General features: G+C 33.5%; 1 protein-coding gene and 1 long non-coding RNA gene across 12 annotated transcripts in view; one reads left to right on the top strand and one right to left on the bottom strand.

The window, feature by feature from the left end:
* The window catches only part of C1QTNF7-AS1 (C1QTNF7 antisense RNA 1), a 422973-nt gene that overhangs the window by 347778 nt on the left and 58988 nt on the right, over positions 1 to 16207 (top strand). The window lies entirely within an intron of this gene.
* CPEB2 (cytoplasmic polyadenylation element binding protein 2) overlaps positions 9986 to 16207 on the bottom strand; it is a 67671-nt gene continuing 61449 nt past the window's right edge. For all 11 annotated transcript variants that reach the window (XM_005248135.4, XM_011513777.4, NM_001177381.2 and 8 more), the window contains one exon: positions 9986 to 13984. In XM_005248135.4, the coding sequence (XP_005248192.2) occupies positions 13757 to 13984 (228 nt within the window). In that variant the 3' untranslated portion in view covers positions 9986 to 13756. The remainder of the gene's footprint in view (positions 13985 to 16207) is intronic.

Genomic DNA, 16207 nt, shown 5'->3' with positions numbered 1-16207 from the left:
CCTTCTTGGAACTCAGTTTCCTTCTCATCTGAAATAATTGATAAAGTCACTTTAAATAAGTAAGGGCTATGGTTTATTTCCTGTAGAATGGTTAATGATTTACATGTCATCATCAGTATAATTTGAACAAGGGGAAAAAAGAAAGAAATAGAAAGGAAGAAATAAAAAGAGAAAAACTAAAGAAAAGAAAAAGGAAGAAAAATAATGAAGATCTTGCACATGAATGAGGAAATGCTTAATAAATGGCATATAGTAATCATAACTTTTTAAAAACAGAAGTTTCTATGTCAAATATATGGCAGGGCTACCTGTTTAGCTGCTGGTTCCATCCCTGTCCGACAATTCCTAGTGGTGAAAGCCTATAATCTGAACCTGACTCTTCTGATAGCAATAATAATTCTCAATTCAGCCCAGGAACACCACATGTAATTACTGAATTCTAAAGATGGTCTCCCAAGATTCCCATTTCTTATTTTTCAATTGAGCACTGATCTAGGTACTGCTATGAGGAAATTTTGCAGCTGTAATTAAAGCTACATGTCAGTTGATCCTATAATACAGAGATTATCCAGTGGGCCTGACTCAATCAGCTGAGCCGTTTAAAAGCAAAATTTTCGCTGGCTGGTTGCAGAACAGAAAGTTTCCAAACTTGAGAAAAATTCAACACATTTTTTGCTGGCTTTGAAGGAGGAAGCAACGTTAGCAGGAGTGTGGTCAGTCCTAGGAGATGAGAGTGGCCCCTTGCCACCAGACAGCAAAGAAACAGACATCTCAAAAGCACAAATGCAAGAAACAGTATTCTGCTGAAATTTGAATGCTCTTGGAAGTACCTTATTTCCCACAGTCTTCAGGCAAGAGTCCAATCCAGCCGTCATCTTTATTTTGGCCACGTGACGTCCTTAGCAGAGAACCCTGTCATGTTCCCCCAGACCTCTGACCTACACAATTGTGAGCTAGTAAATGCGTTTTGTTTTAAGTTACTAAATTTGTGGTAGTTTGTTACACAGCAACAGAAAATGAATACATCAAATATTTGAAGAAAGCAATATGAAAGAAAGACACCAAACTCAACTAACATCCAAAGAAACACTTAATTTAACAAGTAGGATGTTTTCTTTAAAAAAAACCCTATAATTTCTCCAGTAATTTAAAAAATTGTGGTAAGAACATTTAACATATCTATCTTCTTGACAAATTTTTAAGTGTACAATGCAATATTGTTCAATACAGTCATGATATTGCACAACAGATTTCTAGAACTTACTCATTCACCTTGCATGACTAAAACTTTATACTCACTGCCCAGCAACTCCCCATTTTCCACTTTCCCCAAACTCTGGAGACCACCCTTCTACTCTTTGCCCCTATGACTATTTTTGGAAATTCATATAAATATTTGTTCTTTTGTGACTGACTTATTTCATGTAGCACGGTGTCCTCAAGATTCATCATGTTGTCACATTTGGCAGGATTTCTTTCTTTTTTGAGGCTGAATAACATTCCATTGTATATATATACCACATTTTGTTTGAAGAGTCTTTGACTTTGGTATTAGGGTAATACTGGCCTCATAAAATAAGTTTAAAAGCTTCCCCTCCTCTTGAAGTTTTTGGAAGAGTTTAAGAAGGATTGGCATTAATTTTTTAATAATTGAATAATATTTTTTATTATCATGTCTTCTCATTCCTAGGAATTTAAGTGATAAAAATCAGAACAGAATCTGAAATAGTCACACTACAAAATCGGTTAGATTTCTCTTGGGATACCACCACATGTGCTCATAAGTGGGATCTAAATGAGGAGAAAATAGACACTTAGAGGGGAACAACATACACTGGTGCCCTTTGGAGGGTGGAGGATGGGAGGAGGAAAAGGATCAGGAAAAATAACAAATGGGGTACTAGGCTTAATATGTGGGTGATGAAATCATCTCTACAACAAACCACAATGACGCAAGTTTACGTTATGTAACAAACCTTGTTTGTACAAGGTTTGTATCCCTGAACTTAAAAGTTACAAAAAAAGGGTCAAAAATTATAAAAAGAATTGCATAATCCTAAGTCATCTATTTATTTAAAAGTGTTTGGTGTAACTCACCAGTGAAGCCATCTTATTCAATTTCCTTACTAATTATAGATCTGTTCAGGTTTTTAATTTCTTCATAATCCAATCTTAGTAGGTTGTATGTTTCTAGTAATTTATCTGTTTATTCTAGGTTATACAATTCGTTCGTGTATAAGTGTTCATAGTAGCCTCTTTTGATCCTATTTCCATGGCATCAGGTAAAATGTTTCCTCTTTCATTTCTGATTTTTTTAATTTAAGTCTTCTCTCTCTCTCTTTTTTTTTTTTTCAATTCTAGCTATGGGTTTGTCAATTTTGTTGATCTTTTTCAAAATCCTACTCTTAGTTTTATTTTTTTTAATTGGTTTTCTGTTTTCTATTGTGTTCATTTCTGCTTTAATCTTTCTTTCTTTCTTTTTTCTAACTTTGGGCTTAGATTGTTCTTTTTCTACTTTCTTGAGGTACAAAGCTATGCTGTTTATTTGAGTTCTTTCTTATTTCAATGTAGGTGCTTATTGCTGCATAATTTCCTTTTCCTGATTTTGTTACAGTCCAAAGGACTTGGTATGTTGTGTTTCCATTTCCAGTTTTCTCAAGATATTCTCAAATTTCCCTTCTGATTTTTTATTTGATTCACTGGCTGTTCAGGAGTGTCTTGTTTAATTTACATATTTGTGAATTTTCCAGTTTTCTTTAGTTATTGATTTCTAGTTTCATTTCATTGTGGTCAGAAAAAAATACTTAGTATGAGATCAGTCTTCTTAAATTTGTTAAGATTTGCTGTGTGACCTAACATGTAATTAATTCAGCACTTGAAAAAAATGTGTATTCTTCTGCTGTTTGGTGGAATATTCCATATATGTCTCTTGGATTCATTTGGTCTACAGTATTGTTTATGTCCTCTGTTTCTTCATTGATTTTCCATATGGAACTTCTATTCATTGTTAAATGTTAGGTATTAAAGTATCCTACTATTGCTGTTTTTCCCTTAGTTCTGTCAATGTTTGCTTCATATATTTAGATACTTCTAATGTTGGATGAATACATATTTAAAATTGTTACATTTTCCTTAATAATTATTTTATCATTATATAATGACCTTTTGTGACAGCTTTGTCTCAAAGTCTATTTTGTCTAGCATAAGCATAGGCATGCTACTCTCTTTTGGTTACAATTTGCATGGAATGTTTTTCCATCTCTTCACTTTCAGTTTGTATATGTTCTTAAATCTAAAGTCAGTCTCCTGTAAACAGCATATAATAAGTTCCTATATTTTATTAATTTTATTTTTATCCATGCAGCCATTTATAATTGGAGAATTTAATTCATTTACCTTTAAAGTGATTGTTCATAGGGAAGAACTTACTATTGCCATTTTCTAGTTTTCTGTCTTTTGGTTCTTGTGTTCTTTTCCTTTCTTGCTGTTTTCCTTTGTTGATTTTTTTTTTGTATTGATATGCTTTGATTCTTTTTTACTTACTTTTTTAAATTTACTTTTTACTTTCTTTTGTGCATATTTTATAGGTGTTTTCTTTGTGGTTACATGGGGCTTACAGAAAACATCTTATGGTTATAATAGTCTATTTCAGGCTAGTATCAACTCCATACAGAAACTCTACACTGTTACTTTTCTTCTCCCCACACTTTGTTCTTGATATTACAATTTATATCTTTTAAAATTGTTTATTCATTAACATATTTTATAGTTATAGTTATTTTTACTGTTTTTGCCTTTTTAACCTCTAAACAAACTAAAACTTATTTACCTATCATATTACATGTCATGGTATTTTCAATCTGTATATATATTTACCTTTACCATGAAGTTATATAGTTTCATATGCTTTTTAATAGATGTTAAGCATTCTTCCTCTTCAACTTGAAGAATTCCCTTTAACATTTTCTGTAAGGCACATCTATTGGTGAAGAATTCCTTCAGATTTTGTTTGTCTGGGAAAGTCTTTATCATGCCTTCATTTCTGAAGAACAGGTTTTGCTGGTTATAGTATTCTTGGATGACAGTTTCATTCTCAGCACTTTTAATATATCATCTCACTGCCTTCTAGGCTGTAAGATTTCTGCTAAGAAATCTGCCAATACTGTTATGTATATTTCCTTAGATATAACAAGCTTTCTCTTGCTATTTTCAAAATTCTCCTTGACTTTTAAAAATTTGATTACATTGTGTCTCAGTGTGGATCTCTCTGGGTTTATTTTATTTGGGAGTCCTTGGGCTGCTGAGATGTGGATGTCCATTTCTTTCATAGATTTAAGAAGTTTTCAGTTATTATTTCTTTAAATACACTTTCTACCCTTTCTGATCCTTCTGAGACTCCCATAATGTGTATATTGTTTCCCTTAAGCTTTCTTTCCTCTTTTTCATTCTTTGTTCCGTTTGTCCCTCTGACAAAAACATTTTCACAATCTGTCTTCAAGTTTACTAATTTTTTATTTTTTAGTTCAAATGTTTCATTCATTAGTTTCAAAATTTCTGTTTGGTACTTTACTTTTTTATTGTAATAATTCCTTTGTTCATGCATTATTCTCCTGACCTCATTAAGCATCTTTATAACAGTTATTGTGAATTATCTATTAGTAATTTTCTATTAGCAATATATCTCCCATTTCATTAGGGCCACTTTCTGAAGCTGTATCTTGTTCCCTTCTGGAGGACATAGTTTTCAGTTTTGTATTGTTTTTCATTTTCCTTGACTTTTTGTGTTGGTATCTATGTATTAGATAAAACAGTCAACTCTCTTCATCTTCACGGAGTGGCCTTATACAGGAGAAGACTTTCACCAATCATTCTGGCCAGATATGTTGGGGGGCCTCTCAAACTTTTATGCCAGTCCAAATCATCATCTTTGTCCTTTAGTAGACCCCAAGCATCTAAAGTATGCTGGGCCCTGTCATTGCTTTCAGACAGGTGAGACAGAAGCCTCAAGCAGTACCTGAAAAATTGGAACTTTGGATGTGCGGGCCAATTCTTTCCTTCCTCAGGGAAATGCTAGCATCTAAGATGTATCATCTGCTTGCGTTGTGCTCTGAGGCATGGGGAAGGGCTATTGTGGCTGCTTCCATGCTAGTTCAAACCATTGTCTTTGTTCTCACTTGCCTCTAAGCCTCTAGAGTATGCCAAGACCTATCAGCACTCTGCAATAGGTAAGACAGAAACTAGTCCTTTGGGAAGCCCCTGGAAAACTTTCAAACATTGGACACATACCCCAACTCTTTCCTTGCACCCCAGAAGAAGCTGAGAGCTGCTGCTGTTGTTGTTGTTGCCTCTAAATGTGTCTCTATTCCAGTCTGCTAGATACGGGAAGTGAAAGCCAATGTGATGGTTCTAGAAGGCAGGAGAGGGATGGGAAAAAGCTGATATTTATCAAGTGTATCTATGTGCCAGAGAGAACACTGGGTGCTTTACATACATAATCCCTAATCTGCATAGCAATTCTGTATAGTAGGTATCACTGATGCCCAGTAAGCTTAATAGACTTTCTCAAGATTTTCTAGCTCCTATAGGGCAAGGATAGAATAGAAATTCCTTTTTCTAACTGTATATGCAGCTCCCAGTTCACTGTCTTTCTAGTATATCGGTTTGCCGCTTTTCTGATTTTATAATTTTCTAACATATCTTCTCCAAGCTTTTCCCTTTCTAGACATTATTTTCCCTCAAAGGTCAAGAGCAGCCATGCTTCTCTTACAAGAACATGAGTATGATGATGGGAACAGTAAGGCAGGGCAGTGTGGTGTGGCATAGTCCGATGGCTCCTGACCCTGCCTGTACAGTAGAATCACCTGGGGAACATGTTAAAAATATATTCATCTGGGCCTCACTCAAGGCCTACTGAATAAATATATCTGTGACTGGAACTTCGGGAATATATGTTTTAAGAAACAATCAGCATAGATTTGAGAACCATTGGTGTAGTTAGAACTAGGTTTGGATCTTGGCCCTGCCATTTACTTACTTTCCATTTTTCCATTTTGTGTTATATGACAACTGTTAGTCAAGCTAGACTAGGTCTTGCTGCAGTAATAAATTAGCCCTGAAATCTCATTGTCTTACTACAACAAAGGATTATTTATCACTCTTATTTCACCGCTGGCTTACTGGCCTTAGTGTACAGTTTATTTCCATATTTGTTTTGTATTTACACAACATATAGAAAAATCCTGATTCACACACAAATAGTTTAGCATACTGACTTAGATGCTCACAAGAAAAGAAGCAGAAAAACTGGATGGAAGGTTGTATCACTAACAATATCTAACTCAACTGATGGCATTCCTTGGGAAGTATTCAGTTTAGAGGTAATTGAACAGGTAGATTCACTATTTGGTAGAAAATACTTTTCAAATGGCAGTAAAGTTGGGCGTTAAAATAACAGTATTATATGATATGTTCAAGGGCGTCATTAAAAAAATCTCAGTTGTCTGTTGTACTTAAAGTTTCAAATCATACAGACATATGTTCTATATATTAGGTAAGGCTAACTTTAACAATTATTGTTGAAGTTTTATCAATAAAGACAATAATTTTGTGATTTGCAGTAGAGCTTATTTTGACACACAGCGCCACTACTTATCATATGACTATCTGTGTCTTGATAGTATCACCACATGCCTGCCATTTGTCATGTGAGGCCCAAGTACTAACATAATGTATTTTCTTCTTTGAGAGGAGAAAATGGTAGATCCCGGCTCCAGTGAGTGTAGGGTAGAGAGAAAGCTAATTGAAATGAAGCTTCCTAGAGGAGATGGCAGGGAAGTTGGTCTTGAAAAGTTCCATAATCTGCACAGTTAGATCTCTAACCTCATTATCTGCCATGCCGGGCTTTGGAATTTACGCTCTAGAGACACACCCTACAGGTTGTTTTGAGCTTTGTTCAAACTCTTTCTTCTCCCTAAAATCTCTTATCACTTTTTTCTTTTGGTTAAGTAACACATATTCTTCATGCCTAATCTCAGTTTTTATTTCTTCCAGGAAATGTTCTTTATTCACTTGTTCTTTAAATTATTACTTATTTTCTGTGTTCTTGTGGCCTATTGCACACATCTCCCTTATTTTAATGTCATTGAAATTATCAGAGTACTCCTAGAATTGACCATAAACACCTTGTCTTATTCTTCACATCTCCATATACTTATTTTTACATATATATATGCATTAAGTACATTCACATTGCTGCATAACCATCACCACCATCTATCTCCAGAACTTTTTTCATCTCAACATGAAATTCTATGCCAAACAATAACTCCCCATTGCCCGCTTCCCCTAGCCCCTGGCAACCACTATTCTTTCTCTATGTATTTGAGCACTCTAGGTACCTCATGCAATGGAATCATACAGTGTTTGTCCTTCTGCAACTGGCTTATATCACCCAGTATGTCTTCAGGCTTCCACCATGTTGTAGCATGTATCAGAATTTTCAAGGCTTCCTTTTTAAGGTTGAATATTCCATTGTATGCATATACTCCTTTTTGTTTATTCATTCATCCATTGACAAACATTTCGGTTGCTTCCACCTTTTGGCTGTTGTGACTAATGCTGCTATGAACATAGATGTACAGAAACCTGTTGAGTCTCCGCTTAGAAAAGTTTTCTATTTCTCAACAAGTTTTACAATTATTCATAATGTGAACTGATAGGAAATTCATTTTCTATATGTGCATTACATTGCACAAAATGGTTTTAAAAACAGCCTATAGACCTAGAATTTAGTTACCATGAAAAATCTCTTTGATTCTGTTTTTGTATTTCTTCCTATGTTCCTCACTCTCTTATCCTGCTATTGAAGCAAGCATTGTTTTCTTTTCCATTTTCCTTTTTAAAATAAATTTTATTAGTGAAGTGTAAAATATACAGAAAAGTGCTCAGGAAATAATCATCAGCGTGATAAATTATTCACAAAATGAACACTCTGAGTGTGTGTGTGCATACATGGGGGATGTCTGAATTAAAATATGCAGTCATTTTAGGAGGTCAGCAATGTCTTAAACTGAAAAATAAACATTGTTAAGTGTGCTATTTGGATATAATAAGGCAAATAACATGATACTGTTAAAGTGAAAACACTTAAAAAGAGTTAAAAGTTGCCTTTTATGAGTGGAAATTGTAGATGAGGAAAGGGTGGGTGGGGTTTTATCTTTTTCATAATTTGTGTATTTGACTTAAAATATTTAAAATGTTACATTTAAATATATATTAAATGCATTTAAAAATTACATATATTGCAATTTGAAGACAATTTAGTATTAATAATAAATTAATCAACATCTATAGTCTTATCTTCTTCTATCCCAAACAAGGCTTTCTTCTTCATTTCAAATGTTCATCCAGGTTTTGCTTTAAATTACCTTGAGTTTTAGTTATTATTTTAACATCGATGTTTTAAATTATGACTTTATTTGGACTTGCTTCTAAATTGTGTGAAGCTTTTTAGCCACATTTCGTTTCCTAACTATACACTAGAGCGATATTTTTTACCTATGTAGTATCCCATGTCTTCATGTTTCCTGGGTATTTTATTATCATTCCTTCTTTTTGGTGAAATAGATCTTTAAGTAACTCTTTTAGAAAGGATTTGTGAGTGCTAATCTTTGTATCTTTTAATTCTTTGTTCATGGAAAAATTTAAGTCAAATGCTATCCCCTATGTAAAAGTTCTTAAGTAATTTCATTTCAAGGAAATGAAATTACTTAAGAAGAATATTCCTTCCTTTCATGCTTTATACATGTTTATGAAAGTGTATTTTATCTTTTATTAGCATACTGCATTGCATTTGAGTTAGCCTGGCCTTTCACCTTCAAGGCTATGAGACCTTGTGAGCAAAGATTTGACAAAGTCGGTGTTCAGTACTAAGTTGGTATTCAAAGCTTATTCTTTTCTTAAATAACCGAGGGAAAGGGGAGCATAAGAAAATGATCTTTATGTCAGTAGCAAGGGAATTAAGACACTGTGAAATTCCTGTTGTCTTAGATAGGCCAGAATGTGGAGGCGGCTCTTTAGTTTTATTATGAAAGAGGACTTTGTTGAGGAAAGAGAAAATAGATTCCAAATAGAAAAATGGCAGCATATGCTAAACAAGATACAGATATGTAGAGATGCATGATTTGCTTGGAGGACATGGGTGACAGTGACACAATATGAAGGGCATACAATGGCAAGATTAGCCCATTTAAGGAGTTTCTATGGTGTCTTGTAGAAGATGAGGAAACATTAAGTTTTACCCTTTCTGACATACCTATGTCCTTATAGGTAAAACAAAACATTTGGTTATGATCAGTGATCTTTCATTTTCTGAAAATGCAATGGAATCCTTTCCTCCTTCTGCCCAGTGACTGCATACCAATTTTTAGGTAGAACTTCAGCTTTGTTAAAGTTAAAAGTAGAGCTGTTCTAGTTATAATTAGGATGAGGAACCTAGATTCCAGGCTCCTTACTCTATACTTCTTTTCCTTCTCCCTCCCTCTTCAAAGTAGACACTGAAAAATCCACACAGGCTGTGCAAAGAACAAGTAAAACACTACAAGTGATTCCCAACTAGAGGGTATCTGAGAAAGTATCATGAAAACTGTGCATTTAGCAACATGATTAACAGTTCCTCATTTTTTGAATGCAGCATCAACTTAGATATGGCAATATTAATTATAAGTGATGACTGTAACACAGAAATTTCTATGATATATGGGGGATGAGGGTGGGAGAACTGACACAAGAGGACTCAGGGCTGAAATACTGAGAGATACTAGACAACATGGTCTCCAAGGCTTCTCCTCTATCCTTGTACTGAAATGTAGTTTGGCCTGGGCATCATAATATATTTATGTCACTAAGCTCTCTCTCTAAATAAGATCTTACTGGTGTTTTTGAATATTTTACTTGATTTGAACCGAAGAATAAGATTCCACAACTATGCCAATAACTTAATAGTTTATTAGTCAGTCAACAATATTACAAATATTTAAAAATTACTTAATATAAATAGTTGGCAGCAAACTATTCCATTACAGAGTTAAATTACCAGTACAACAGACAGACTGGAGATTTAGACACCTGGAAGATAACAATAAAATAAACTAAAATATTTAACGAAAAATTTAAGCTGAAGGTGTTTACCTAGTGTCCATAAAAGCATGGGTTCTCTTTTTATTTAGAAAAAAATAAAAAACGGCTTTAACACCCCATTAGGAATATAAAATAAAATCAACTGAAAATATTAATTTGCATATCAAAGAACCATTTATAATTACAATCCAAACACTCCATAAACCACTTGTGCGATTCTATACAGAAACTGGGAATTAGAAACTAGTTGCTTTAATATTACAAAGATTTCAGCTCCAAAAATAATTCAACATAAAATAAACTTTAGCAATTAGTGTCATAAAATTATATATTTCCACATAAAAATACAAAATAATATTAATGACAAGAATATGAAAAATTATTCCAAGTATTTTACTACTATTAAAATAAAATAAAACCCAAAAAAACAAAATAGAAATATGCATGAAAAAAGTCTCTCCTTTTGTTAGCAAAACACTATCCAAAATAACTACAATCATTTACATCAGTACAAAGATTTCTGGATTTAAAAAATAGTTGCAATGACAAAAGGGGTATCTTTTCTGACAGTAAAAAATGACACTGTGGATAAAATCTGCAAAATATGCAATGAAAAAAATAAATTTGCATTAAAAAGGTTTACACTGTTTTTTTTTATACAAACATTAGAAACAGTATTGCACATCACAACACAGAATCGAGGTTAGTCAGCCTTCCAAAATGTGTTATATTCAAGTTTTGTAGCATCTTTGAGGAGAGGCTCTGTGCAGCCAGATGCAACAGGGATAAAATATCAAGTGTTTTCCATACACAAATATATAAATGCTAAATGTTTCCTTCTTAACAAAAAGTGTGGATTTTTAAAGTATTTTTTTTTCCTCCACAGTCATACTTTTGGGCAGCAATATGAATATTTAGGGAACACAAGTGAAGAAGCTTTTAAAATACAAAAATACAATCAAAATTAATAATTTTCTACAAAAATAGTAAAATAAATATGATCTGTAAATTAAAAAAAAACCTCCAATACAGTGTTTAAAAGTTAGAAAATAAGAATGTAGTACATAAAGGGCAAAAACAAAACAAAACAAAAGAGGTAGGGGTGAGGTGGGAAAGGAACAAAACATTAGACTAATAAGCTTTACTTGTACAGAAATGAAGGTAAAACAAACCATACATTTCTGTTATTTTTACCCGTGGCAAAAAGGGTGTTCTAGTACATTCCCCTTCATTCCAAATATTTATTTCTGTTTAAGAAGGGAAAATGATTTTCAACATCTCCAATTATTTTAATTATATAATTTGTGTTCATTATTTAATACATGAAAAGGCTCTTCAATTTTAAACATTAAGCAGAAATTATGAAAATAAAGTTTAAAAATCTGCGAAATTAAATATCTAAATAATTAACATTGCAAAACTACTGATTTCTTCTCTAAATTCCAAAAATTGAGGTATAGCAAAGGAGATGTCATCAGTCAAAAAAAGTGTGCCATAAAATAGCTGACTGTTGGAAAAATCTCTCACAGAGATATAAAAATAGTGCATAACAAATGTCAAAATGGATCAAGGTTTGGCAGGGTTAAGGTTAGAAAAGAATACTCCAAAAAATCTGGAGGATCATGGTTAAGTAACAAATAGGGAACACTGACAAATAAATTAGTAAAAAGCTCTTCTGAAAACAGCATCAACTTTAAACATTAAAAACTTGAACCACAACCACAATAAAACAGCAGAGTTAGACATGAACCACATATTTTTACAGTACAAAAAAGCACACCACAGACAACCAATATTAAGATCAACACTTTGCTCACATGAAGGATTGTCCCAAGGGTTTGCTATAAGGCAACACCCTTGTAATTTTCTCTCTTTAGAGTCAAAAATCTTAGTTCTGCATTTTTAAAAAACATTTACCATTGTTGGGTGCTTTGCTTAGATTGCAGAGTAACTCTTACATTAAAATATAGGGGCTAGTTGCATTAAAAATGCTCTAAAGAGAAAAAATATCACTAATGATATTCTAATAGTGTTCAGTACCAAGAGAAACTCATTAACTACTGCATGTTTCCATGCCACTTTCTCAAAACACCCCAAAAAACCTGCAAGCAAAGTCATTACCAAAATTCCTTCATGAAAATTTTCAAAAAAGCAATTCTCAACTATTAAGAACAATGTTCCATGCAACAGTGACCCCAGTTTAGACAGAAGACCCCAATATTTATAGGTTAAACACATAAGCAAGTTCAAGCCAGATTTCACCATTGTCTTATAAAGGTAAAATTTAATTTTATGCAACTAGCCATCTGTATATTTCCCCTTCTCCATTTTGACTTTACTTAGGGTTTACTAAAGTTTTGCATTCTTCTAAAAAATTCAGATTTTTAAATATGGGTTTCTTATGGGTCTTACATTTGGTGACTGGTTAGCAGTGTGCTGGCCATCTTTGGTTTATAAAGGATGTCTTAACCATGGACTATCAAAGGGGCTAAAACCAACTTTCTTTAGAATTCTTGTATTTTCTTTTACTCATTCTTTTATCTATACTATATCACTGCACATGAATTAGAACCGCACGTCACAAAATTGCACAGGGATTACAAATATTACATCCAGTCTGCATAAAATCGAATTCCACTACTGACCAGATCACAAAATGGCTGCACTCTCTAATCTAAAACTAATTTGCATATTGTACACATGTAAGACGATTTTTTAAACTTGAAGTCACAATAATGCATGCAAGTTTGCTTTTTTAAACAAATTTTATAATTTGTTCATGCTACCTAGATTCAAGAGAGCTTTTTTGAACATTTGCAATACCTCACCTCGTTAGTTAATAATTCTAGTGCATGCATATGGTGTATACAGGTAAGTAAACATGCATTTTTTTCACATTCTAAAACTATGGCAGTTTAGGCCATATTGTGCTGCCTGCATTTTATCTGCAATGCAGTGTGTCTCTAACGTTTTCAGTCCCGTATTAATAGGTGGCATTTACACATAACACCTATATAGCAGCAAAGCTAATACAGCTTGTGATTAAAAATGTTTAAAAATAGCTAATAAATCAGATTATCTTGAGGTATTATTTCTTGCAAGTCAAAATGGAGAGCAAAAAAATCAACCCTAATTTTTAGTTTATGTATACACTGAAAATAGCAACAATAAAAATAAGCATTTGTAGCAGACATATTCCATCTTCACTATTATTTTGCTACCTTTGGTAAATTACTGGGGCAGATCTTGAAGTTAAAAACCCATGTTTAGAAATAAGTGCACGCTTCCCCCACTATATAGCAGCAGACTGTGTTGCCCCTACGCAAAACATTCTCATATCTAATTTTAACTTTACATATAAAAATAACTTGGAGAAAATACAAAAAAACATTTTATTTGAACATGAAAATATCACAAAAATTAGTAAGCCTGAGATGTAGGGTTTTGGTGAAAAACAAGAGGCTTGTAGTGTTTTGGCTGCTGATAAAGATGCATGTATTGATAGCTGGGGTGAAAAGCAGAAGAATGCACTTATTTCTTCTGCATGTCAGTATCTTCAGACACAGTAAGCCACATGCACCCTTTCTTTCCTTGTTAAACAGAGGCCAGTTTGCTATTCTTAGTTCCAGCGGAAGTGGATCTGACGTGGGCGATCAGCACCTTCCTTTACCAATGGCTTATGGAACTCACGTCCAGCACGAGAGTGGATATTTGCCCAACAAAACTCACAGTAATACTGCAGGCAAGTGACATTGGCACAAAAAAAGGGAGCAAATTTTCCACCACAGCGTGCGCCCTGGCATTCATCACACATCTGGTCATCTAGCACATATGGCTTTACCTCCACCTTGAAAAAAAAGAAAGTTAAGTCTCATTAGGGTCTGCTTCAGAAATCAAATTCTGTAATAACTTAAAATGTTCTACAGCAGAAAAAAAGGACCAGCATTAAAAGCTGAGGAAATGGGCAGTTTCTCAAGGAAGGAGCTTTACAATGTAGTAGGTTAAAACACTTTAAAAATCTATAAAAATCTGATTTGCAAAACATTCCACTCTCACCTTTCTTGAATAACATCTTTGAAACACCTGTGTGCTGGTATTTTCAGAGTTAGGGGAGATTATGAGTGAAAAACAAAAGAGATATCAAGTAGTCATGGAAGACAGTTTCCACACCTTTTCCCCTCATTCCAGTATCACCTGTGAGATGGCAGAACCCGAACAGCCACTGATTAAGGCGGCGCCTCTCCACTGCAGGTGCGAGTCACACTCTGCTTGGAAATAACTGGCACAGACAAGCCAGAACTGTGGAGAATCTTACAAAGGGCATGCCTAGACTTCTGTAAATTTATAAGATATAAAGCACAAGTCCCGTTGTGAAGGTCTGACTTGGCAGAACACTTCAGACTGGAGTCAGCTCTGAATGATAAACTTCTCCACCTCAGTTTCCACATCTGTCAAGTGGGAATAACAGATCCTGTCAGAGTTGTGAGGCTTAAATTGTGAATGTAAAAGCATAAGACAGTGCTCGGCACATGGTAAAATATTCTATAAATTAGTATTAGCTACTATTAGCTGCAATAGCCTTGCTTTCCTGCTTGTGATAACTTTATGAATGGAAGGTTTTTACTGTTGTTTGGCTGAAAAGTGCCAGACAGCATAACAGCTCAGCCGTTCCTTAGGAGACAACAGAACACTGAGTGTTCTGAAGGACTGGATTGACATAAAGTAAAGGTTGCCTATAGTAAAAAGTAATGACCCAACAGTTTGTATTCTGAATGTATTCTACTGAAATACTTGCATGAGTGCAGAAAATGAATATAAGGATATTTTCCGCAATATTATTTGTAAGAACAACAACAAACTAGAAACAACCTAAAAGTTGATTACAAGAACTGTAGGATGTTCATTTGATAGACAGGTAATGGAATTACATTGTTGTTTATATTTCATTGATTAGGATTAGGATAAATATATTTTATGTATATTCGACACTTGGCTTTTCTGAATTGCTTGTTTGTATCTTTTGCATATTTTCTTGCTGGAGTTTTGTTTGTTTTTTAAATTGATTTATGAGTTCTCTTTTGTCAGTTAAGAGTTTTTAACCTTTTTTCCAGTGGCTTTACAATCTTTAACACAAATTTTTAAAATTGTTATGCTTAATTTTTATCTCTCAACTTTTTCCTTTATGGGAACATTATTACAAACAAAGAATAAATTAAGGTAGCATGAGAGTTAACTGGATTTCATCTCACTGAATTATAAACTCCATGAACACTGGGACAGCACCCATTTGCTCAACATTCAGTTCCCAGTGCCTAGAAGAATATCTAGCACGAAGTAGAAATGCTATAAATATATGCATAAATGCAATACATTTACATATGTTTTCTGGGTTTCTTTCTCATGGTTATTTCTTTTTTTTTAAAATAAGATTTTAGACAGATTGAAACCAGGGTCTGTGATGTTTACTTCACTTCCATAATACCTGATAAAACACCAGATGTTCAGGAGTTACATTTTAATATAAAACTGTTGAATGAAAATTTCACAAATGCAATGATTTCAATTATTTGTATTTTTAAAATTCTAGATATTAGTTTTATGAAGCTAACCTACTTTACTCAAAACCAGACTTTAAAGATGGAAAATTGAATTTCAAAACCTATTTTTCATTAATAATCTCTAATAATTAAACTCTTCTATATGCAAAAGGAAGTTTCATTAACACTACACTTCACCTAGTCTTATTTTCTAACATTTACTAGAAGTCACAGTGAATTATACTACTTATGAAATAACATACAAAAAAATATAATGAATTACACATCTGTGGTGACTGCTTTCCAGCTATCAGATAGGAACTAAACCACAGTATCCATGAGTCTAAAAAGTTAAGTGGAATAAACAATTTTCATTCCCGCCAAATAAGTATCCCGTGTATCTCTGGGTTGGCAGTTATACACGTATATTTATTCAATTTTTATGGTTTAATAACCATATTCATATTGGAGAGATGAAAGGTATAAAGGTTAATGGTTTAATATTTCTTTGTATAAGCAATATTAGTGACTTG

This window comes from Homo sapiens, chromosome 4 (assembly GCF_000001405.40).
Source record: "Homo sapiens chromosome 4, GRCh38.p14 Primary Assembly".
NCBI classification, from domain to species: Eukaryota; Metazoa; Chordata; class Mammalia; order Primates; family Hominidae; genus Homo; species Homo sapiens.
This window is presented reverse-complemented; position numbering and strand designations above follow the sequence as displayed.